Below are 24834 nucleotides of genomic sequence, written 5' to 3'. Positions count from 1 at the left end.
GCCCTTCTATGCAGACACAGTTGGATGGCAATTGGAAGAGTACTGGCCCTGGGAAGACCCAGCTTTGAGCCTCAGGTTGTGTCTAATCATCTCTCTGTCCTTGGGCCAGTCAACTCACCTGTTCGTGCTGCCACAGAGACAGAGGTACAGGAGCTCAAGCACAGACCTGGGGTTGGCATTCCTGCTCTGCTGCAGGCTGGTTTGGCATGGCCACGGGACTGCCTTGTGGCCTTGGGTGTCTTAAACTTTCATAGCAAGCTTCATGTGTTCATGAGTAAACAGGGCCAATGATAGAACTTATTTCTGGTGCAATCATACATGCCCATGCATGCCAGTTCCTGCCCAGGGGCTGGCACAGAGTAGGTGCTCAGTGGATCAAAGGTATTATTCGTAGCCTCTGTGGTAAAGTCTTGTTATGCCTTCTTCATAGGGCTATCGGTAAAAAAAAAAAAAAAAAAAAAAAAAAAAAATCACCTAAAGATGCTTTAGGGTCCTAAAGCACTAAAAACCAACCAAACAAAAGAGAGTTGGCTTTATGATTAAATTATCCTTCACCACTTTGATCAATGGGGCTGAGGCCCATGGTTAGGGCATGGTGGGGCGTGGGTGGGGTGTGCCCCATTTTGCGTGAAACCCACTCTTGCTGAGTTAGGTGGGCGATGCATCAAGGGGCCTGTCTGCAAGAGCAAAACTGGAGGCCAGAGTCCTCCAGAAGGAGGACAAGGAGGGGTTCAAATTCACCATGCATTGAGCATTTATTGAGCACCTGCTGTGTGGCAAGGACCTTCACAGGTGTTATCTCATTTGGTCCAGTGACACATAGTCTGTTGTTCCTCTGGGCTTCAAATGGCCCCTTGAGCCCCTGAAGCAACAGGACCATGGTAACAAAAGGAAAGCTCACACCTACTGAGACACCTTGCGTCACAGTGCATGTTTGCACACTCAGTCTCCCTAACGCCATTCTGATGGCAGATTTGCTAACTTGGCCTAGTGCCTGTGTGTCTGTCCTTCCCTTATTACACACTCATCTTCCAGACAGGTGCATTCACATCCACTGCAGGCCCTGCACCTTACACTCAGCCCCAGTTTCTGCCCATCATACAGAGGACAGAGTCACAAACATGACACAGGCTCAGGGAAGGCATGAGTGGCTGTCATCCCTGATTCCCCCTTTTTTCTTTGAAACCCCTGTGGGGTCCCACATAGATGCAGCTGCCTGGTTCTAAGCTAGTGCTTTTCAAACTGTTGTGCTCCCAGGATTCCTCCATAGGAAGGGGCTCTGGAGTAGGGGGCAGGCCAGGGCCCTGGAATTCTGGTGCAGGTGGGAAACAGCAAAATTTATACGGTCCCCTCGCTAGCCCCTGCTTGCTGGTTCCATCCCAGCTACCTTTGGGAAAGCTGGTCACCTGTTGTTAGGGGCAGGAGATGAGGGAGGTGCAGAGAGCAGTTGTCCTCTTAGAGCTGTGTGCAGACAGGAACCTCTCTGCCTCACCTACCCACTTCCCCCAGGAATCCACACCCTCATACCACCCTCCAGCTTCCCTTGAGATTGGGGCAAGCCTGTGCCTTGGGTAGTGGGCTGGGGCTCTGGGCCTTTTCTTCTTGCAAAATTGGCTGGATGCTCAGCCTTCTCACTCCATGGGGTCCCACTCAAATACCCCAACTTCCTTGCTGTTGTCCACCTTCCTGGGCACCCTCTAGGCTGAGCCTGACTTTTATCTGAATTTGTCCCTCCTCCCAGAATGGCAGTCAGTAGGCCTTCGGTCCCACATTGCCATTTAGTTTTTCCATGTTTTGCCCTGCACTGGTGCAAGCTTGCCCCAGCTCCCTGCCACCTCTTCCCAGCAGGACCTCCCAGTATGCCTTGCAGCTGGCAGCACCACATACAACGTCTGGCTCTGTGAGGACCCATCCTCTCTGGCTGAGCAGCACCATAGTACCCCATAAAGACTCCCTGTCTTCCTTCTGGTCTTGGAGGCATGGCCTTAATCCTTGAGAAACTCTTCAGCCAGCCCATTCCACCAATGAAAATCCAAGATCATGGAAGAATGGAGCATACCTTTTGCTTCAAAGCCCACAGCTAGTTCAGTCTCAAAAAGCGGCCATGTTTGGGAAGGGGTGCAGCACTGCTAGCAGCTCCCCCTGTGGTCTGTGTTCAGCTTCTCCCACCCCTCCCTTTTCATCGGTGTCTTTATTCTGTTCTATTCCAAGATGTAGGAGATTGATAAGAGGAGGTGGGTCAAGGTGACATTGCCAGCACGTGATACAGTACAGCCCAGCCTGAGCTAGAACCTCCTTGTCTGGACACCTCCCTGCCTCCTCCCCTCCCTGCCACACAGTCCCTCAAGGGCAGAGCCCAGAGCATCTTGTTGCTGTTTAGTGAATCTTGAGTGATAATTATATGTATAAAATCCGACTGCTTAAACCGTTCAGGATTAATCGGCACCAACATACAGAAATGTGCCTTGCCTGTAATTAGTGATTCTCTGGCAAATGCATTTTGCAAAATAGCACTTGATTTTAATAACAGGCTGTTAGTATTAGAAAGCTCTGCACATTTTGTTTCAAATTGTCAAAGAAGCCCCCTCTCTCTGGCTCCTCCAGCCCCCAGCCTCAGCTTACAGGTGCCTGGGACTCTGAGATCCTGTCTGGGAAGGGAGTGTCAGTGCCCTTTCTAAACCTCTCCCCACTCCAATCCCCATGCCTTCAGGGCACCTCAAGAGTGCCTTGCTGCTGGCAGGTTCCATGTGAGAATCCCAATCCTTCTCATCCTCCCTTCTTTTCCCCTCCTCCTCTCTTCTCTCCTCTATTCAACATACTATGGCATACACACTTTTCCTGTCCCCTCCTCTTCTCTCTCTCTTTCCTTCCGGCTGCACAGTCCTCTCTGACTCTAGTTGTGTCTCTCTAGCGACGCGGCCCCATGCCTTTGAAGGAAGGACTTGGAGTCTGCCTCCCTGCACTCTTCACTGTCTCTCTAGTGGCTTCTCCCGCCTGGCCTGTTTGTTCCAGTGCGTATGTCATTGGTCCTCTAACTCTCAGCTTGCCTGGGACAGAACTGAGATAATGTTTCCACCCTGCTCCTGGCTGCTGGGCGCGGCCCCTCTGAGGGTGCTCGGTGGTGATATGGGGTTGGCAGCCTCCCCAGCTACATTCACGGCCAAGCATCTGCCATGGAGACCACGAAGGGGCTGGCTAGCCAGGCCTGGGCAGAGGGGGACAGGTCTAAGGTAGGGCAACTCTCCACCCCTCCCTCCCCCTACTGCAGCCTGCACCAGCCTCCAGAGGCCCCTCTCCTTGCTGGCACCACTGTGTCAGCACAAAGCCAGCTGCTCGTCCTCCTCAGATTGTATGAACAGCAGTGGCCATTAGAGGGGACCTTCCCGATGAGGATGGGAGTTATAGGAAAGGACAGGAAGGCCACAATGCTTCTGGCTATGCTGGACAGATGGCTGGATGGTTAGGTGGGACCCAAGTCTGCAAGGGAGGGGGCTTCTCCTGCAATGGGAGCATAAACCTAGCATTATCTCTTCTTTCCCTGCTCCAGCCCCAGAAATGACCCGCCTCCCATGTTCCATAACCTCCCACCCAGTTGCCCAGGCTGGAGCCCAGAGTGTCATGCTTGCTCCCCCTCCCTGCACCTCCTTCTACAGCCCACATCCTTAAGCTGCCTGTCCTGTCTCCCAGCCCCTCTGCACTCCTCCACCCCTTCATCACTGCCGTACGCCAGAACTGCAGCATCATCTCCTCTCGGGCTGGGCTTCCTGTTTCCTGCTACAGTTCTCATGGTTGCCAGAGGATTCTGCCTAAAACCAAAGCTGAGTCTCATCACTAGATTACGTAAAATCCTTAAGGGGTCTCTGTCACCTCAGAGTCAGGCCTGAACTGCTTCCCCTGGCCCTGCCTACCTTTGCAGCCTCATCACGCACTCTGTCCTACACACCCTTTATATCCATATATGCCACATTGTCCCAGCACCACTCTGCTCTTGTATATGCTGTTCCCTCTGCCTGAAATGCCCTTCCATGCCCCTTCTCCTCTGAGCAATTCTAATGCCTAGGATAGTGCTTGGCACATGGCATGTGCACACTTCAAGTTTATTGAATGAATGATAAATCTTACTCATCATTTCATCCCCAGCTCAAATGCCTCCTTCTCTGGGAACGCTTTCTTTCCTGCCCTATAGACTCACCTGCTTCCCCTGTTTGTTATCAGGGCACCTTTTACACATCACCTTTCCTATCCCTGTTGTATTCGTCAGCACTTGCTGAGTAATAAGCCACACTAAAACTCAATGGCTGAAAGCAGCAATGCTGAGCCTGGTTTGACTGGAGAGGCTGTGCACATAGCTCTGCTCTCATGGCTGTCATCTTACCCCTGAGACCAGCAGGCTGGGCCACGCATATTCTTGTCATGGCCATAGTGGAGGCACAAGAAGACAAGAGGACCCTATGAGGTCTCTTGAATCTGAAGCCTGGAACTGTACATCACTTCCACTTTATTCTGTTGGCCAATGCAAGTCATATGGTCAAATCCAAAGTCAAGGGGTGTATTCTCTGCCCCTCACGGGAGGAACTTCAAAGTCTTATAGAAAAGAATGTGAATACAGGGTTGGATGGGCAGATTTGGGACCATACCAGTGTTTGAGTCCTAGTCCCACTGCTTATCAATATAGACCAGTCATTCCACCTCTCTGAAGCTCAGTTTTCTTGATTTTAAAGGGTTGTTATGAGATTTAGAATCATTCATTCACTCCCTCAGCACATATTGTATTGATTACCTGCTGTGTGTTGGACACTGTTCTAAACTGAAAACACAGCTGTGAACAAAACTGATAATCTATGGTGAACACTGAGTTCAGTGTCTGGCTCAGGTAGTGAGTCCCCTAACTCTTTCCCTGACCCCTGCAGAAGGGGTGGTTCTCCTATGGTTAGCACCCCTGGGGTTTGCCCTGGTCATGCTCAGATCTGCCCTCTCTCTCCCCACTGCTCAGTTCAGCCCCCACTGAACGTGCTGAGCTCTCTGCTGCCCCCAGACTCTCCACTTCCATTTCCTCTGCCTGGAACCCCCTCGCCCACCCACCTTCACCGACTTGCTTCTGAGCCTGCTCCCCTGGCTCAGTTCAAGCATCACTTCTCTTGGGTAACATGCACCACAGTTTGTTATAATATGGTAAACCTTCCAGGGCAGAAGCCATGTCCTGTTCATTTTCATGCCCCTAGTGCTTGGAATACAGTAGGCACTCAATATGTGTATTGGTTGAATGACAATGAATGGATGACTAAGTGTATCCTGAATGATCTGTACTGGCTCAAGGAGGGGTTGTGTGGGAGCCATCAATGTAAGGACATTAGAAATGATGCTAGCCAGCTTTCCTGGGGCATTACTAGGTGCTTACCCTGGGCCAATGCTCTGAAGTGCACAGGACCAAGACCCCGCTCTGACTCACATCTATGGTCAGTAGATTTTCAAGGAGGGAGCAGCATAGGAGGTGAGCATGCAGGTCTGCAACCAGACCTCCCAAATTCAGATCCAGGCTCTACCATTCACTAAGCCGGGTGAGCTTGGCAACTTACTTAATCCTCTATACCTCAGTTTTCCCCTCTGGAAAGTGGGATCATAGTAGTATTTATTTCATAGAGGTGTTGGAAGAACTCATTGAACAAATATTTATTGGTCACCAGCTGGAGAGAGAGCAGGGAACAGAATAAAATTAGCATAGGATTAAATAAGATGTTACATGAAAAATGCTTAGTACAGGGCCAAGTTCATAGCATACAGTAAGTGTCCACAATGGTTCTTATTGTTGTCTAATTGAAGCCTATTATTTGACAGTGAAGAAACTGAGGCCCAGAGGGAGCTAGGCATTCACCCAAGGTCACACAGCAAATTAGAGACCAGACTGGGACTAGCATCCAGGTTTCCTGATGTTCAAGCCGTGCACAGGGCGTTTTATACTTCACCAACTACTTCTACTTGGAAAGGGGGTGAACTGGGAGATGAGGAGTCAGAGAAAGTGGGTGGGGAGCAGGAGGAAAACAGGCCTGATCTGCCCTTGGACCCCCTCTTAGCTCATGTGAACTTTGATTGAGTGATTCAGTCTCTGTTGTCATTGCCAAATTGTCCGTACTAATGGAGTTAATTCCAAAGGGCAGTTAATCCCATAAACTCTCTCCCCAGCTCTGCCACGTACACACTATGCCATCAAGTGTGTGTTGCTGGTGGGTGGGTGTGCGAGGAGAGGCTGCTAATTAACCCCCCTAATTAGGCTTTGCACAGACTGATACTGAAATAAGCCTGCCTTCTGCAATGCACATACACAGGTGTTAGGGAGGCATCGGGGCAGGGAATGCTGGTTAGCATGAAGGTTCCAAAATGAACGAGCAGGGAAATGGATAATCCACATGGAGGCCTGGCTCTGTGAGTTGAAGGAGGCTTAAGAACTTCTCTGCCTTTGTCCAGGGGCCACATCAGAGAGAAAGACTCTACAGCTTGCCCAGAGTCGAGCTTAAATGGAGCAGCATGATTTTTGTCTGAAAAGTCTGAGATGGGACCAGTGGAAAGGTGTGCATTTTAAGAAGGATTTGCTTCCCCATCTTGTGCCTTCTGTGTCTTGCAGCACGACCTGGCCCTCCACCTAGGAATCATACCTTCATCCCCCATACTCATAAGGTAGGGCTAATGTAGTTCTCACTCCCTGGTAATGTTCCTTCTACTTGGTACAGAGGTCTTTTGGAGACCATGTGTTAATTAAATTGAATGGATGTAGGTTGGGATTTCAGGCACTTGGTAATCTTTGGTGAGGGTAGGGGTGGGGAACGTACTGCAGCTAGGGATGAGGAGAGTGAAGCCAGTTACCTCATCAGAACCCTTGGGTGATCTAGTCCTTTTGCCACAGGAGGGCTGTTCTTTCCAGCAAGTGCTGATTTCTAGAATGGGAAAGTAAGCCCTATGCAGGCAGGGACTGTTTCTGCTTCATTCAGCAGTATATCCCAAGCACCTAGAACAGGGCCTAGTTCATAGTAGACACACAATAAAAAATAGCTATGGAAGGAATGGAGAGCTCTGCCCAGATGAGGATGAGACCTTCCTGGCCTTGGGGTCTTTTTCTGCCCCTTTCTTAGATGAGAATGAGCTCCATAGAGGGGAGGTGTATTTCTAAGGTGACATAGCAAGCAAGGCTCAGAATGGGGACCCACTCATCCTTGGCTGCTCCTGGCCACCCCATGATCTTCCAGGAACCTGGAGACTTGAGTGGGAACAGTGCATGTGTGGAGGGGGTGTGTGAGAGAGATAGCTGTGGCGGGAATGAGGTCAGGGAGGTGGGACTTTGCCAGCAAGTTGGTGGGCAGATGCTGGGGGAGAACCCATTTGGCAGGTAATTTTCTAATTAGCAAAGCAGGTGGCATCAACTAGAGATTCCTGCAAATTAAATCAGGTGACCCCTTCTCACCTTCTCACAGTGGCATGTGGGCCACCCTTCCCCAGCTGCCTTCAGATGGCTGAAAACTGCATCCTTTCTCTCCCCCAGCATCCTCATTCCTGTTTCCTTGTGGATGTCATGGTCTGCTGTGAAGTCTGCTTGGTGACCCGTCCAGACCTGACTTGGTATAAATGATTTTGTTGCAGAGAATAACAAAGTCTCAGTGTTTATTTGGCATCTGTTGGGATATCTGGAACCCTAAACAGAACGGAGGGGAGCTGGGGTCATGTCCCTTCTTTAATGATTGGGAAGACTGAGGCTTAGACTGTGCTGAGTCACTGCTCCCAGGTCACCCAGCCTGAAGGGGTTTCTTAGTCTGGGTTCCCCTAGAAGCAGGCTCTGAGACCAGAGTTTGAGTCTAAGTAATTTATTTGGGAGCTGGGCCCAGAAAACACAAATGGATGGTGAGACAAGCAGGAAGGCAGCCCACAAAGGGCAGGTTTTCAAGCCACCTATCCCTGGTGGCAACTGGAGCCTAATCCCCCTGGGAAACCATCAAGCCTCAGAATGGGACCACCTGAGGAGTGAGTGAGCAGGGGTATTTATACCTGTATGCTGAGGCAATGGTTGAAGACTTCTTTTTTTTTTTTTTTTTTTTTTGATATGGAGTCTCACTCTGCTGCCCAGGCTGGAGTGCAGTGGCACGATCTCGGCTCACTGCAACCTCCTCCTCCCTGGTTCAAGCAATTTCCCTGCCTCAGCCTCCCGAGTACCTGGGATTACAGTCACATGGCACCACGCCTGGCTAATTTTTTTTATATTTTTTAGTAGAGACGGGGTTTCACCACGTTGGCCAGGCTGGTCTTGAACTCCTGACCTCAGGCAATCCGCCCGCCTTGGCCTCCCAAAGTGCTGGGATTACAGGCGTGAGCCACCGCGCCCAGCCGGAATTCTTAGGTTAAGTGTGTGGAGTGTTAATTCCCTGGCAGCTTTGACCTACCATGTGGGCAGGTAGAGTGGCTTTGATGTGACAGAAGCCCTCAGGTGAAGGATGTAGGTACTGGCAGCTGGGAGCCAGGCACTGTCATGGAAAGGGCAAAGGGATCTGCAACACTGGGATTCAAACCCCCAACAGAGTGACCCTCAAGCTCACGCTTTTTATACCAAATCTCACTGAACCATGTATTCTGCTCATTTTGTCTCCTGGGTCTGCTGTTTTCAGGAACCAGGTCAGCACACAGTTTCCAATCTGGAGGTCTTTTCAACATGCAGTTGAGGATGGAGACGCTGGCCACAACATATATGACATTCCCCTGCCAGCCTCCCTCAGCATCCCTCTGGATCCCCTTCCCCCCTTTACTCAGAGTGTGTTCAGAAAAAGCACACTCATTTTAGCATGTGTCTGAGTGAGGCCAAATTAGGAAAGTAAGACTACAGTAAAAATAAACTCACTAAAGCATGCCAAAAATAAATGGCTTTTAGATTATCCACTGTTCTGGATTATGCTAACCCACTAGAGAGTGACCAGGACTGCTGCGTTCACCTGCTGCAGGCCAGGCAGTCTGGGAGCTGCCCAGGTGGCTGGCCCAGGGTGGTGGCTACTGCTGAGAAGTTCTAAAAATGGGGCCTCCAGCCAGGGGCAGCATAAGAGGGGGTGCTGCATAAGGAAAAAGAGATATACTTTAAGAAATGGGAACTGTTTGACAGCATTTTCCCCACTCTGCTGCTTCTCCAGGAAGCTAATAGGTATTATGAGGGTGGGAGAGAGAAATGAGAAGGGTTATATGGTCAAGTGATTTTGGAATTGGCTAAATCAAGAAATTTTGAAAATTGTAAAAGTCAAAAGCCAAAAGTTTATTTTTACTGCAGACCTTCTCAGATCCTTTACCTTTCTTTGGCACATAACAATGCTGATTTACCTAGTCACATGTAACATATGGCTGGGTGTGGTGGCTCACACCTGTAATCTCAGCACTTTGGGAGGCCAAGGCGGGCAGATCACCTGAGGTCAGGAGTTCAAGATCAGCTTGGTCAACATGGCAAAACCCTGTCTCTACTAAAAATACAAAAATTAGCTGGGTGTGGTGGTGCACGCATGTAATCCCAGCTACTCAGGAGGCTGAGGCAGGAGAATTGTTTGAACTTGAGAGGCAGAGGTTGCGGAGAGCTGAGATTGCACTACTGCATTCCAGCCTGGGCGACAGAGCAAGATTCCGTCTAGAAAAAAACAAAACAAACAAAAAAAACTCATATAACATATGTATTACATACATACACTATGTATAAAATACATGTGTGTTTGTGTTGTGGGGGGTCAAAACTATCTGGAGCATGGAACGCTTTCTTTCACATGGAGTTCTTAGGAATTGACAGAACACCCTGTAGAGCATTCCTTGGGAATGCTGTTCAGGATTTTTCCAGAGCTTTTCCATACCTGCCTCTCACTGGATCTTATTAAAACAGGATTATGTCACATCTTGGCTTCAAATCCACCAAGACTCCCCAGCCGGTTGGATAGTGCTGAGACATTTTAGCCTGGCATGGTGGTCCATCATGACATGGACACCTCCCTGCTCCCTTGTCCTCTCTGGCCAGGCCCCCTCCTGATAGCTCTCCAGGGTCACCCAGAGCCTTCAGACCCCCGAGACTTTGCACACACTGCTCCTTCTGCCGGAAGTGCTTCACTTGGTGGGCTCCCACTCACTTTTTAAGGTTCAGGCTGGATATCAGTTTTGGGAAGTTTCTCTTGATCTTGCCCTCATCTTGATGAGACCTTCCTGACTACTCTTAAAATCTCTACCCCTTCCCCTAGAGCTCCCTATTCCCCTTTTCTGCTTTATTTTTCTCCCTGGCACGTATCACCTTTGCACAGATTATATAGTTAACTTAATTGGTTTGTTCAGTGTGGTCTGTCGCCCGCCTCCGGAATGTCACACCATGAGGGTGGAGATCATTTTTCATTTTGTTCCCTGCTCACAGTGCCTGGCACCTAGTAGGTGTTCAAAAAATTGTTAAATGAGGCTGAGCATAGTGGCTCATGCCTCTAATCACAGCACTTTGGGAGGCTGAGGTGGGCGGATCACTTGACGTGAGGTGTTCGAGACCAGCATGGCCAACATGGTGAAACCCCGTCTCTACTAAAAACACAAAAATTAGCTGGACGTGGTGGCATGCACCTGTAATCCCAGCTACTTGGGAGGCTGAGGCAGGAGAGTTGCTTGAATCCGGGAGGCAGAGGTTGTAGTGAGCCAAGATCTCACCACTGCACTTCAGCCTGGGTGATGAGAGTGAGAACTTGTCTCAAAAAAAAAAAAAAAATTGTTAAATGAGGGCGTATTGTTAACTGCTCCTTCAATTGTTCTGCTATATTCCTTCAAATGAATAATTATTGAACACTCGAGCTTGCAGACAAATTATAGCTGCCACACCCTGCCTCCCCAGTATACTGGCTTCTCTAGGGCACTTGCTCTGGGCCCTACCTCTGCGTCCCAGCAGTTGACAAGCCCCAGCCACTAAGGACATGCTAAAGAAATGCCTGTTACAAGCATCAGGCCTGACGTTTATAAACAGAAAAGCCATGGCTCACCTTGGCTGAGCTGGAAGATAGGAGACTGAATTTTGTAGGCCCCTAACCCCATCCTGCCCTGGAGGTTCTCTGTATATTTCACTCTCATCTCCCAGGCTGGCTGTTTCCCCATCACTGGGGATATTAGCTGGAGTTGATTTCTTCCTGCTCAGAAAGTGGCAGTGATTTTCTCTCCCCAAGGGCTCAGCATAAAGGACGTGTGTCTCTGGCACCCTCCTGGTAGATTTTTCTTATCCCAGCATGGTTCCTAAAGTGGATCCAGGGATCTATGGTGCATTGTGGTGGGCCCCCAGGAGGAATCCAGGGTCTGTTCTGTTTATTTTCAGTGAGGCTGAGTACACATCTGCCAAGGAGGGAATCCATTAGGCTAAACCAGGCCCAAAATGTGGCTCCTGCCAGGTGTCTGCAAAAACAGAGACTGGCTTGGCCTGGCCTGGGGGCACAGAATCTCTGCAATCAGGGTGTGTCTGAGATACTGAAATAGGTGTGTGCTACAGTATTTCATTGAATCTAAGATGCCTTTGATTAGAAGATAGACCATATTTTTCTGTGTCCCTAAGAAAGAAATATCGCTGCTAATTAAACTTTGACATGTTATTGATTAAAAGACTCACTCCAGTTCCAGTGTTGTTAAAATAAACATCTTAGAATTGACAGAATGTGGCAGTGTTATCCACAGGAAGCGGGGGCAATGGGAGGGTAAGTACCTCCCTAAGTGCAGGCAAAGGGAGACTGGAGGCCTTGGGTCTTTCAGGAAAGAACAGAGATGATCCATTGGCTACTCTCTCTTAAGTCAAGTGCGCGGGACACGTCAGTTCTCCTTAAGGGGGTTGGAGACTATGGTCAGTGTGCACAGAAAACCTGGGAACCTGGGCAGGGTTGGGGATGATCTGGATTTTAAGCGTCCAAAAGTCTGGCTTTCAGCCTCAGGAGTTCTGTGTCCCACGGTGATTCACTGCCTGGCTTTGCTCATCTTTGCAAAACCCTCCCTGCCTCTTCCTCAGCCTTCTTTTCCCTAGTTCCTCCCTCTTTCTCTCTGTTTCCACCTGAGCATCCTTTGGTCAAGGAAGAGAGTTACAATTAATTGAAACCTACACCTCTTGCATTTCTCCTTTGTAGAAAACTCAGCCTCTGACTGGAAAGAATCATCATATTAGAACTTTGAATAATTGTGTGCCCCTTCTTCTCCCTCACGTCCCCTCTCTACCTGCCAGGAGCTGGCACACCATCGGCACCCACACCTGGTTCTCACTGTCATCCCCTTGGGGTGCCCTGCCCTTCCTCCCTCTCTAGTTTGGCCCACATGCTTCCTGGAACACCCCTCGTGCCTCCTTTCAGAAACTTGCAGCACCTCCCTCTTGCCATAATGTCTCCCAGACAGAGAGGGTGGCACATGACAAAACAGAGCACACACTCCAGAGCTGGGTGGCCTGGGCTCAGACCCCCTTGCTGCTTACCAGTTTGTGACTTAGAGAGAGTTACTTACCCTCCCACTGCCCCTACTTCCCGTGGATAACAATGCCACATTCTGTCAATTCTAAGATGTTTATTTTAACATCTCTAGAATTGAAACGCATTCTGCAATCAATGACCTGTCCAAGTTTAACAGTGACATTTCTTTCTTAGGGATACAAAAAATTACCATCCATCTTCTAATCAAAGGCATCTGAGATTCAGTGAAATGTAGCATCTACTTCAAGAGTTGTGTGGATGAAGATGAGCTAACACATGTAGAACTTTTAGCACAGGCCCTAAAGTTCCTCAGTAGGTGACCCATACATGTTATTTTTGGCCCAAGAGTAAACTCCATCTGACCTTCGTGCCCCCTCAAGGTCTCCCCTCATTATTTCCCCTGGTGTGCATGATAACTCAACTCTGTGTTCCCTCCTGCCCCAGGCTCCCTTTGGCCTTCTCCCCCATGGTCTCACCTCTCTCCCTCCCCTGGAATGCCAGCTCACTTCCTATTTATCCTGGCTCTATCCTTTCTTCTTGCAAAACAGGATTTCTGAGCACATTCTGGCTTCCCCTCCCTATCTCTAGTGCCCCCACCCCTCCAGCATTGGCCTAGGGATTTGTGCACCTTTCCTTCATCACTGCTGTGTGAGTCTCGTCTTCCCAATGCTTCTATAAGCCGAGAACCCCGTCATCCTCACACACTTGCTCCCTGCATTCTGCCTGCCACAGGGCTGGGCATGAATAGGCAGTCCAAATGGCCACCCAATGCAAAACAGCATCCCTGTCTCCTCGGCCCTGCTTTCGTTTCCTCTGGCATGTTGTCCAGCCTGGCATTCTGGTCATGGACCTGTCAGCTTATCACTGGCTTCTGTGTTTGAATGTAAACTCCCTGGGGCACAGCTCTTATCACCCCACTCCTCACTGTGCCTCAGCACTGAACCCAAGGTCTGGCATCATGTAGGAGCTCAACAAATGTTTGTGAGATTAATATGCACTTTCTTACTCTCTGGCTGGTTTGTTGAATGACAGGGAGCAAAGGGTTTTGTGAGGGAGTTGACTCAGCTTCCTGAAGGCTGAGGTTCATGAACCAGGAAAAAGACAGGGGGACTTCAGATGACCAGGGAGGCATCAGTTGGGAATCTCCAGCCTTACCTGGCTTGATGCTATTCTCATTTTACCCTCAAGTTATGTGTTCTAGGTATGTGACTTTCAAGTTTTTTGGCCATATCCTACAGTAACACATAGGATTCCCGTCATGGCCTAGTGTTCCTTGGCATACCCACATGCACTCACCCCTTACCTGTGAAGCCCAGTGTTCCCTGGTATACCCACATGCATGCACCCACCCCTCCTACCTGTGCAGCACAGTGTTCCCTAGCATACCCGCATGCACGCACTCATCCCTTATCTGAACAACCCAGTGTTCCGTGGCATACCCACATGCATGCACTCAGCTCTCCTACCTGCACAGCAGTGTTCCCTGGCATACCCGCATGCACGCACTCATCCCTTATCTGAACAGCCCAGTGTTCCGTGGCATACCCACATGCATACACCCACCCCTCCTACCTGCACAGCACAGTGTTCCCTGGCATACTGGCATGCATGCACTCACCCCCACTACCTACGCAGCCCAGTGTTCCCTGGCATACTCACATGCGTGCACTCAGCTCTCCTACCTGCGCAGCTCAGTATTCCCTGGCATACTGGCACGCATGCACCCCCACCCCACTGCCTGCACAGTCCTGTGTTCCCTGGCATACCTGCATGCATGCACTCAGCTCTCCTACTTGTGCAGCTCAGTGTTCCTTGGCATACCTGCACGCATGCACCCACCCCCACTGCCTGCGCAGTCCTGTGTTCCCTGGCATACCCGCATGCAGGCACTCACCCCTTACCTTCATAGCCCAATATTCCCTGGCATATCTGCATGCATGCACCCACCCCTTACCTGCGGAGCCCAGTGTTCCCTAGAATACCCACATGCATGCACTCACCCCTTACCTGCACAGCACACTCTCTTTTCTGTGCCATTTCATTCTGCTCTCTACTCTTTCATTATGTTTCAATGCTGGGCATGACCCACTACATTGAGCTGCTGACCCACAAGTGGGTTATGACTCACATTCTGGGAAAAATTGCCCGACATCTCAGAACTACTGAGTGTGAAAGGTGACAGTCAAACCAGGCTTGCTAGACACAGAGCCCATGCTCTGTCCCATGAGTGATCCCACCTTGGGGGATATGGGCAGGAACTTATGTGTGTTAAGAGAACAAGATTATTCATAGAAAGCAAGTGAGAGGTTCTATCAGAATTTGGGAAGGAAGTTATGTGGAGTGTGTCATCCTTGGCTAGGTCATTGAGAAAGAGAGAGCCTGTTTTGTCAGTGGCAGGCACTCCAAAATATTTGTTGACAGACTGAGTGGATGGGTGCATGAGTGAATAATCCACCTCCCCACACATCTCTAGTGCAGACCTCACAGGTGGAAGGAGGATAGGCCCCACTGGTTGCCATAGTCCTTATAAGGAAGGGATTTCAAAGTCCTGGAATAGAAGGAGCCCTGGAGATGATCTTATCAACCCAATCATTGCATGGATGTGAGAATGAGGTCCAGAGAGGGCCCATGGCATATCCAAGATCATGATGTGGTCGTTAGCAGAGTCAGTGCTAAGACAGTGTGTTGAGTGGGGAGAGCCCAGGCTTCGGGTAAGACTCTGCTTCTGCTGTTACTATTACTATTAGTTCCACCGGCATATTTGAGCATTTATGGAACACTAATGTCATGCCAAGCACAGCTTTATGTGTCTTACATGTATTAAGTCTTTTACTACCTATGCCAACCCTTAAAAATAGGTACTTTTGTCAATTGCATTTTCCGGAAAGGAAATGGAGGCATGGAGGAGTAAAGTACCTTGCTCGAGGTGACCCACTAGTATGCAGTAGAACAAGAATTTGAATCTAAGTGGGCTCCTGAGTCTGTACTGCTGGAGACCTAGGTGCAGGGAGCAGAGCCTCTTCAGGCACAGAGAAAATACCAGGGTCCTCTTGGGTGGATCCCCCCCACCACCCACTGCTGATCAGACCCCTCCAGAAACCCCCATCTCCTGCATTCATGAGCAGAGGAAGGAAAGAGAGCAGGGAGAGTGATGCAGCTACAGTGGGAAGCTGTGGGGTGGGAGATGAGCAGAGAGAGACCAGAGTGGGCACTGCAGGATGGCTGGCAGGAGGCCAAAGCCCTGATCTGCCCCTTACCTGCAGCATGTCCTGGGCAGAAAAACTAAGAGCTATTAAAATTTGTAGAGTGGTACTAGATACAAGCCACTGTGTCCAGCACTTTGCAAAAATAATCAGATTCAAGTTTAGGTGGAGGTGAGGGCTTGGAGGGGAGGTAACTAGCCCAAGGTGACGGCTGGTGAAGGAACAGAGCTAGGCTTGGGCACTGTCTCACTCAGAGTCCTGAGACTTTGCTGTTAACTCTGTGCTGTGCTGCAGGTTACTGGCCCACTCCCTGCCTCAGTTTCCTCACCTTTCCACTGGGGCAGAGGCTCCCACCTTGAGGACAGCTATGACATGCATACAATGTCATAAAAGGCACACATTTGTTAGCCATTATTCATCTTACTGTCATCATAGCATAAGAATCATAGTGCTTGTCTCTGAGTTTTGGCTTGAGGTTTAATCAGATTCAGATAGAATCTGAAACATTTCAGGGCCTGTGTATTTTGTGAGTAGGTCGTTTCAAATCTACAAGAGGCATGATCAAAACAGCAAATCCAAACAAAACAAGCTGTCGCCAGCATTTCTTGACACTTACAGTGTGCCAGATGCTGGACTAGGCATTTTCCCCTCCAAAACAGGTGAGGGCATCATTCTTCCCAATTTTCAGAGGAGAAAACTGAGGTTCCAAGGGTCCCAACGGCCTGCCCAACCTTAAAAAAGAAGGCCCTTTGGCACTGAGGTTAAGAGCAGGGTCTTCAGAGCCCTCCACCTTTAATCCGCACTCCCATGTCCCACTTATACGATCTATGTCACTTGACTTCTCTGAGCCTGTTTCTGAAGCTCAGCCCTCTCTCAGCAAGGCATTGTGAAGATTAAACGAGACACTGTGTGTTCAGGGTTTAGTGTCATGTCTGACACAGAATAAGCACTCAATAAACAGTGGTAATCAAAACCCCATCTGTGTTTTGTTAGGGTACAGAAGACAGGTAAAAAAAATCCCCTTTTAGATCATGAACTAAACCAAGGCAATATTAGTCTGGCTCTGAGACTAGTTTGACGTGTCAGTAGACGTTTATTAAGAACCCACCATGTGCCAGATGAGTCAAGGCTCTTACGGTCTAGTAGAGATGCCAGGCTGAGTTGAGTTGGCATCCATCCCCAGGATCCTGACTCCACATCCAAGGGCGGAGGACGTCATCCACGCGGGGAGCGGAAACAATCAATACCATTTAAGCACGATTACCTGACATCATTGCCATGCTTTCTAAATTAATAATGGCTCTTGATCTGTCTAGTACTTTATAATTTGAAAACTGTTCCCCTTTACAGGTATAAAACTACAAAATTCTGTGGTCTTTTTTTTTCAGCTTTACATCCCTGCTGGGTAAATTAGGGTCCCATTTGGCATCTGAGGAAGCTGAGGCTCAGAGCAGAAATGAGATGCCCAGATTTGCAAGGCCAGTTACTGGCAGTGTCAGGGCCAGAACTGCAAACTCCTGGTCAATGAATTCCCACCGTCCCTATCCTGGGCTCCTTCTTAAAGTGAGGCATGGTTGATCCCAGCTTTGGGGACAGTGACATATTGGAAGAGACATCTTCCAATAGGTCTGGGACAGTGAGGCTTAACAACGGGGGCAAACCACCACACAGTCTGATTTGCAGGGCATATAGGAACATGCCTGGGGAACCCGCCAGCATGCTAGCACCTTCCATTGATGAATGCACCTTCCTCATGATCCTAAATACCAACTAAATAAAGTAGCAGTTAAGACTGGAGACTAGATCAAGGCTCCACTCCTAGCGTCACAGTTCTAGAATATATAGAATGTAGATTTGACTCCAGTGAACATGATTTCTGAGGGTATCCTTATATTTTTTTCTTTTTTCGAATAGTTCCATTCATGCTTCAAAGAGCCAGCAGATTCATTCTGGTCAGAACTCTGCTTTCAGTTCAAGTTCCTGCACAAATCTCCACATGAAAAGAGAGCAGAAATCCACCCGGATGGTTTTTATTCTGATGACTTGTGGTGGGACTGCCAGGTTCCATGACACGGCTTATTCTAAGAGGGAGGGAAGCGGGTGTAGACACCCACTTTACTGCCCTTTACTGGTGTGACCTTGGCAGAGAAGCTTTCCTTCCTTCTGCACTTTGAGAATGCTGGAATAAGAAGCTTTCTAAAGTGCGTCTAGTCCTGATGTTGTAGAAATGGTGACAGTTCCAAGCCATGCCCAGGCTCCTTGAAAGATCTAGGCCCCTCACTGGAGGGCCCTCAGAGCTCAGGCCCAGCCTGCAGGATCCTGAATATTGAGATGGGGAACAGTGGGTTCATTCATTCCAGTGCACACTTGGCCACACTGTCTCATGTCAAGGTCATTTGAGCCCCAGACCCCTGCCCATCTCCACGTGCCTTGGATCTCTAGCTGGCCAGCTGGCTAAGCCAGCCAAGCTGAGGAGACCCATCCTGGGGAGTCACAGGTGGGACCCCCCAACCCCTGCCAGGAGGCATGATCTTAAGACATGGGGGGAAGATAGGTGAGACCTGTGTGAGGCAAAGTCCCACAGCCAACTCCACTGAGTGCCACCCTAGAGGCCCCTGCCCTAGGCTACCCAGTGATTATGAAAGAGCTGCTCCCTGTCAATCAGGGCCTCCACCCCACGATGAGGGGTAGCGGAAAGGGCCAGATTCTGTTTCCTCATCCCACCCAGGCAAGGGAAGGCTTTGTGTGGCAACTTCCCAATTTCATGTTTTAATTTTCAAAAAGGAAATAAATTCTCTCCAGCTGTAGCTGTAATTGACTTTAGAGTTGTGACTTTATCATGCAAATGGTTATTTGCGGACTTTTAGAAACCTGCGTCATGGAGCGAAATTACATACTTAGAGACTTCCGAAACCATGGATTATGGTCCCAACAGATCCTAATGATTCTCTGGGTGCCATTAGGATATAACGTGAAAATGTATATTTAGAGGATGATTAAAAAGCAAACGAGCACGCACGGTGAAATTCCTTGTGGAAAGTGGTAATTAGACTGGCTATGAGGCTATTTTCTCATGTTAGGGATCTCACCGACTAGCACCTTGTCCCCCGCCCCCACAGAATCCCGGGAGACCCCACTGACAGGTTATAAACAATCACAGATGCCCACCTGAACCAGAAGAAACCTGCCACACAGGGCCCGTGCAGACAGAGCCCACTGGCTGCTTTGCCGAGGCCACGGGCAACTGTCCCCTCCAAAGATCTAGGCTCGTAGTCTTCACCTCTGCCCTCTGCCATCATCACATCACACACTCTAGAAATGGTTCAGTGTGAAATTGCTTTGACAGAGTGAGGGGTTTGCCCATCCAGCAAAGGAGGGCAGTTTTTAGGGACAGGAGCTTTAGTCTCAGGTAGAGTGACCCTGGTTTCAGACCCAACGCTGTACTCACAGCTCCCTAGTGTGCCTTTGGTCATTGTAACTCGCACACACATGTGAAACCAAGCTACTATAATATCAAAGGTGATTCTGTATACGAAAGAGCTTTGGAAATTGAAAAGGGCTGGAGAGTGAGGCTGGCCGTGACTCACTCCACACCTGTTTCTTGGTCTTGGTGAGAGCAGGTGATTTCTAGCTGGGCTTCAGGTTCAAGCCCTTCAAGAGGTCTTTCCATATACATTTCTGTACTGTTTCCTTCTGACCTTCACTGTCCATGGCTCAAGTGGATTTCTTGGGGAGGAGGCTCTCATTTGCCCACAGCTCCAGAATGTGCTTCTTTTCTCATTCCTGTTCCCACCCTCATAATGAGTCATGACCATCCTGATTTCCTCATACGCCCACTTCTTTAGTATGACAGTGGTTACTTTGTTGTGACCGGAGGATTGGTTAGAATTGTGTTTTTGGGCACATGGTGTGTGCCAGGCACTGTGCTAAGCCTTTCATGTTTAAGATCGTCCTGTGATTATTCCAATTTACAGATGAGGAAACTAAAGTTCCTCATCAGAGAAAGAAAGTTCCTTATCCCAGAGAAGTTAAGTAACTTTCCCAAGGTCACACAGCTACTAAGTGACTGAATCCAGGACCAATTGGAAAATTCTAGCTTTTACTCCTAAGTCATTCCAGCTTTTACTGGTCTCTTATGGGCAAGATGCAACAACCAGCCTTGGAATGGTTCTGGGCGGGTCTCTTCTGCTGTCTGCATTGGTCTTTCTGAGGGAGGCCCTTACCCCAGCCCTGAACCCATTTATTCTAGGAAGTGAACTGCTTCCCCCTTAATGCCACAAGCCCTCTGGCGACCCTCCTATCTCTCGCCACCCCTGCATGAACATCTTAGAATTGCCTCTTTTTTTTTTTTTGCCTCCATTCCATAACTCCTCCAGCCTTTCTGAATGGGCCTTCACCCCATCTTTCCAGCACAGGGGCTTTTCCTAGTGTCACTGGTAGCCTCTGTGTCTTTACATCCAACGAGCATAGTAAAGTCCTCTTCTTATCTGACTTCTCAGCAGCATTTGACTCTACCACCAACCTCGTCCTTCCAGGAGCACCTGCTTCCCTTGCCTCCAATGGCACGCCCTGAATCTTTGGCTGCACCTTGGCACATACTGGTGTTGGGCTCCACAAGGCCCAGTGCTCTACCCTCTCCCTGGGCAATCTCATCTGTTCTTGGCCTTCATTTCCTACCCATATGTGGATTATCTACAGATTTGTGTCTCCTACCAAGACTTCTCTTGAGCTCCGATCTGCACTGTCAACTCTACTCAGGATCTCTTCTTGGATGTCTTAAAAGTCCCCAAACGCTACCTGTCTACAATAGAGCTTGTGGGCTTCTCCAGCAATGGTGGTCTTCTTGCATGGCTCTGTGTCCCAGAGGACCGCCCTCCATCGGCTGCACCAGTGAGCAGCTAAGTGTCACTGTGGGCACTTCCCTCTGCTCCCCCACTACAGTCTCTCCATTACTGCGACTAGTCAGTTTTCCTGAGTAGCTGTGGGAGAACTGATCTCTCTCCAGTTCTTTCACTACAGCCTCCCGACTGTTCTGTCAGCTCCACTGCTGTCCTGCTTGATCCAATTTCCACACCAAAACTCTAATCATGTCACCCTCTCTGCCATCCTAACCCCACTGAACCCTCTGTTGGTTTTCTGTTGTTTGTGAGATCATCTCCATATCCGAGACCTGGCCCTCGTGGCCCTGCATGGCTGGCCCACCCAACCTCCATCTTTGTCACCCACCCTCTGCCCTGTCCTTGCTCTCTAGGTTCCATGGCCTCCCAGTCCCCAGAATTCACTGTGCTTCCTCCCTGATACAGTCTTGGAACATGCTGTTCTCTCTGTCCAGATTATCCTCTCACTGCTGGCATGCTGAATCTCCAATCTCAGCTCCTTTGTGATTTTTCTCCTTTGTGGTTCTATGACAACTGTCCTAGCTTCAGAGCTCTTCCTGGGCTGGGAGCCTCATCACCTAATGTGGCTGTCTGATCATTTCTGCCCCAACGCTCGACTCTAAGCTGTATGGGGGCAGGTGCCATGTCTGTCTGGGCCCCACTGGGCAACCCAGTGCCTAACACAGCATAGTGCAGGTAGTCAATCACCCACCCACAGAAACTCTCTGAGGACTTAGGTTCTAGTCACTGTCTGGGCTCTGGGAGACAGGAGAGTGAATAGAGCATTGACACATAGTCGTATTCAAAGGACACTCATCAATTGTTGAGTGAATGTCCCATTTGTGACTTGCCTTCCAATTCCCCATCGTTCCAGGAAGGACAGGAGTCAGGAGCTAGTGCCCTGCTGCCAGCTTCCAGCATGGAGGGAGGGGAGGGATGAGCTGAGACTCCTGTGCATGGGCGCACTCCTCCTGTAGACATAGGCAAAAATTTTCCAAGGGCTTGTAACTTCAGCCTTCGTGTCTTTTATGACTTGTCCTGACAGCCATTTTCACCCAAAGGACTTCCATTCTGCCTCTGAAATCCTCCCTCCCTTCAATCCTCCTTGAAGCCCTCGGAGATGACCTACACCACCCTGGCTCTGGGTGCCGGCTGGGCGCACACATCTGAAGGCTCTATGGCATCTCTCATATTCTAGGTTAGTCCAGGGCAACTCACTGAAGTTCTGTGGGCTTCATCTTCTTCACCAGCAAAGTGGGGATAATGACACTCCCCTCTAGGGCTGCTGTGGGCATTCAATGAAGTAGCAAAGACAGGGTGCTCTAAACCCAGCAAGGCCCTACAGAAGTGGAAAGGTAGTTATTTTTACTGTATTAACACTGCAGTGCTGCTTTCCTTTGCAGTTGTCTGTCTGTCTCCCCAGCAGATGACACCCTCTCTGGGTCTCCACTGGGCTTGGTACAGGGTGTGTGGAGTCAGGACATGCTTCATGAAGTCACTAATGACAAAATGCACATCAACAAGGTGGAATGTTCAGGCTACCGAGGATGCGTGGCTCTCTGCTCCCTGTTTGGCTCCACTCCCCGTGGGCTCAGATCTCTGATTCCATGAGGGCTTTTGCACCCCACTTTGCCATGCTCACAAGAGTGTCTGGCTTCATCTTTTGTAGGCGGAGACATCCAAGCCAGTGTATTGAAGGCAGAGAGAGGCACGCTGGCACGTGGCTGAATCCATACCCTGGAATATTTTGGCTTCAAGTGCCCTAGATTTTCTAAATGTAAAATATTAATCTGATTATTTAAAAATCAGTGGTGACTGGATGTGGTGGCTGTAAATCCCAGTACTTTAGGAGGGCAAGGCAGGAGGATTGCTCGAACTCAGGAGTTTAAGACCAGCCTGGGCAGCATAATGAAACCCTGTCTCTGCTAAAAATTAAAAAAAAAAAAAAATTAGCCAGGCACGGTGATGGGCACCTGTAGTCCCAGGTACTTGAGAGGCTGATGGGAAGATTTCTTGAGCCCAGGAGATCAAGGCCTCAGTGAGCTATGAGTATGCCACTGCACTCCAGCCTGGGTGACAGAGTGAGACCCTGTCTTAAAAAAAATAAAATCAATGCTTATGATAGGAAATTGGAAAGTGCAGGCAAGGGTAAAAAGATTACCCGTAACTATATCTTTCCTAGAAAACCTCTGATAACATTTTGTGCTTTTTTCCAGTCTTTTTAAATGAAAATATTATATATAATACTAAATAATATTTATATTATTTTAGACAGATAGATATATATGTAGGCATTTGTCCATATGACCTGCGTATGAAGAGAGGGCAATTTTTGCTTTTTCACTTAATATCTTACAGCATTTATTTACCCATGATGTTAAAAATTATTTTAAAATGTCATTTTTAATGGTTGTACCTGTATTATCAATAACTTCTTTTCTAATCAATAGAGTAATATATGCTCAATGCAAAAAAAAAAAAAAGTGAAAAAACACAGAAGCGTACAAAAGGAAAAAAATACCACCACCCGTCATTCACATCTTCAAGGATAACACAGTAGGCATTTTGGTGTATTTTCTTCCTATGCATTCTCTTTCCAAACCTGTAGATGTTATTTTTGATGCTATAGTCCATCCATAGTCTTCTAGGCCCACTGTTTTCCTTAGAGGCATGTAGTGAATATTCCCCAGTATTGGTGAATATTCTTGTAGCACATTATTTTTCTTAATAGTTGCAGTCCAGTGCACTGTTTGGATTACTCTGGTTTACTCACCCAATGCCTGATGGTTGGACATTTAGTTTCTTTCCACCTTTCGTTATTACAAACAACACTATGATGAACATCCTTGTATGAAAGCCTCTGTGTATAACCATGATTATTTCCTTGTACACTGCTTCTTTCACTCCTCTCCAGAATCTTTAAGGAAGGGACTTTTTATAAAGCTGTGGGCAGATCTGACAGAATCAACAAGGGCTGAGAGGCACTCAAAGACTTGCAGTGATGCAAGCTATTAGCCGCCTGCCCCTCGGCCTGAAGTGATAGGGAGGAAGCAGATCTGAGGCTCTGAAGCCAGAGGGAATGCCACAGAAGTAACAGCCTCACCCTCCACGTCCCCTGTGGCCTTCTCCTGGTACATCCCATGGGCCAAACCTGACAGGAAATAAGAGGGCAAGGGGGCCTTCCCCTGGGACACAGAGCTGGGTGAAGGAGTCTCTGAGGGGCAGGCAGAGTAGTCAGCACAGCAGAGCCTCCCGGTCTCCGGGGAGAACCTGTGAGAACACCAGGCTGATGGGGTTTCTCTGAGGGCCCAGGACCCAGGCATTGCTGTCTGCAGTCGTGGAGGCTAAGAGGGCTTTCGTGCTGGGCATCCATCCCACAGGCAGGGAGCTGGAGAGGCCTGCCACGGAGAGGATGGGAGGCAGGTAGTAGCCATCTTCTAAGGGTTATTAGAGCTTCCTCTATTGAAATACATACGAACTGCAGATTTCTTTCATTCTCACCACGGCCTTGTGAGGTAGGTGCTGCTGTTCTTCCCATTTTCCAGATGAGAAAACTGAGGCACAGAAAGGTTTTCAAAAACCTTGCTCTCACAGTAGAAGGCAGAACTGGGATCTGAGCTTGAATCAATGGCTCCAAACCCACTGACCTACTACCTTGAACACAGCCCATCAGCCTCTGACCTTGCAGCACAAACTCGCCACACTCTAAGGGGGAGTGGGTCACTGGTCTCATGCGGTGTCAGGCAGCAGACCCAGCACTTCCACTTTCCCCTCGGCCCACACTCTCTGCTGCCACTCTCTCCAGCTGGGGAAAAGAGAGAAACCACGAACACATTGCAACCTGAAGAGGAGCCCTGCGAAGCCCTAAATCCACTCCAATTGTATTTTCTCTTCATCCCTTGGAAAATAAAAATTGCTGAGTGTCTGCTATTTTTCCTGAAACTGTGTTGCAGAAATCTTCTCCTGGGCTCTGACCCTGGGAGTCAGCTTTCCGCCCAAAGCACATTTTTACGGCCAAGTTATTTCTGATTCTTTAAAAAAAAAAATGTCTGGAAGGAGCAGGCTCGGTTGTAATGTAATGGCTCAGCAAAAATCCCCGGCCACTGGGTCTGTGCTTGGCCCCGTCCTGACAGTGGGGAACCTGGGAAATGTCTTGAACGGCATCATCAGGGCTGGGGAGATGGGGGCTCCAGGATGCAGGCAGTCCCTTGCACCTCAACTATTCCATGGGCCCAATAGGGAGGGATGGAGATGATGTGATGTTGAACGGAGAGGAACACACAGCCTGGTAGA

At 49.0% G+C, this 24834-nt stretch overlaps 1 protein-coding gene and 1 long non-coding RNA gene across 4 annotated transcripts in view, besides 1 other annotated feature; both read left to right on the top strand.

Moving 5' to 3' along the window:
* LRFN2 (leucine rich repeat and fibronectin type III domain containing 2) overlaps positions 1-24834 on the top strand; it is a 195774-nt gene that overhangs the window by 63389 nt on the left and 107551 nt on the right. The gene's annotated exons all lie outside the window — the stretch shown is intronic.
* Positions 11-18478, top strand: LOC105379699 (uncharacterized). Of its 3 annotated transcripts, none has more exons than NR_182434.1 (3): positions 11-144; positions 6463-6564; positions 17579-18478. It is a non-coding gene; the product is annotated as an uncharacterized LOC105379699 (long non-coding RNA). The 3 variants fall into 3 exon arrangements; NR_182433.1 differs by having other exon boundaries at positions 6463-6672; NR_182435.1 differs by lacking the exon at positions 17579-18478 and adding an exon at positions 7532-7636 and having other exon boundaries at positions 6463-6672.
* Positions 13672-14172: an enhancer, noted in NCBI's record as "H3K4me1 hESC enhancer chr6:40477543-40478043 (GRCh37/hg19 assembly coordinates)". NCBI's record gives its function as "activates a minimal SCP1, AML or CMV promoter by ChIP-STARR-seq in primed H9 embryonic stem cells {active_cell/tissue: H9 hESC(primed)}" and the evidence as "EXISTENCE:reporter gene assay evidence [ECO:0000049][PMID:30033119]".

Source organism: Homo sapiens, chromosome 6, assembly GCF_000001405.40.
Source record: "Homo sapiens chromosome 6, GRCh38.p14 Primary Assembly".
Lineage (NCBI taxonomy): Eukaryota > Metazoa > Chordata > Mammalia > Primates > Hominidae > Homo > Homo sapiens.
The sequence above is the reverse complement of the archived record's forward strand: the minus strand, read 5'-3'. Positions and strand labels throughout refer to the sequence as shown.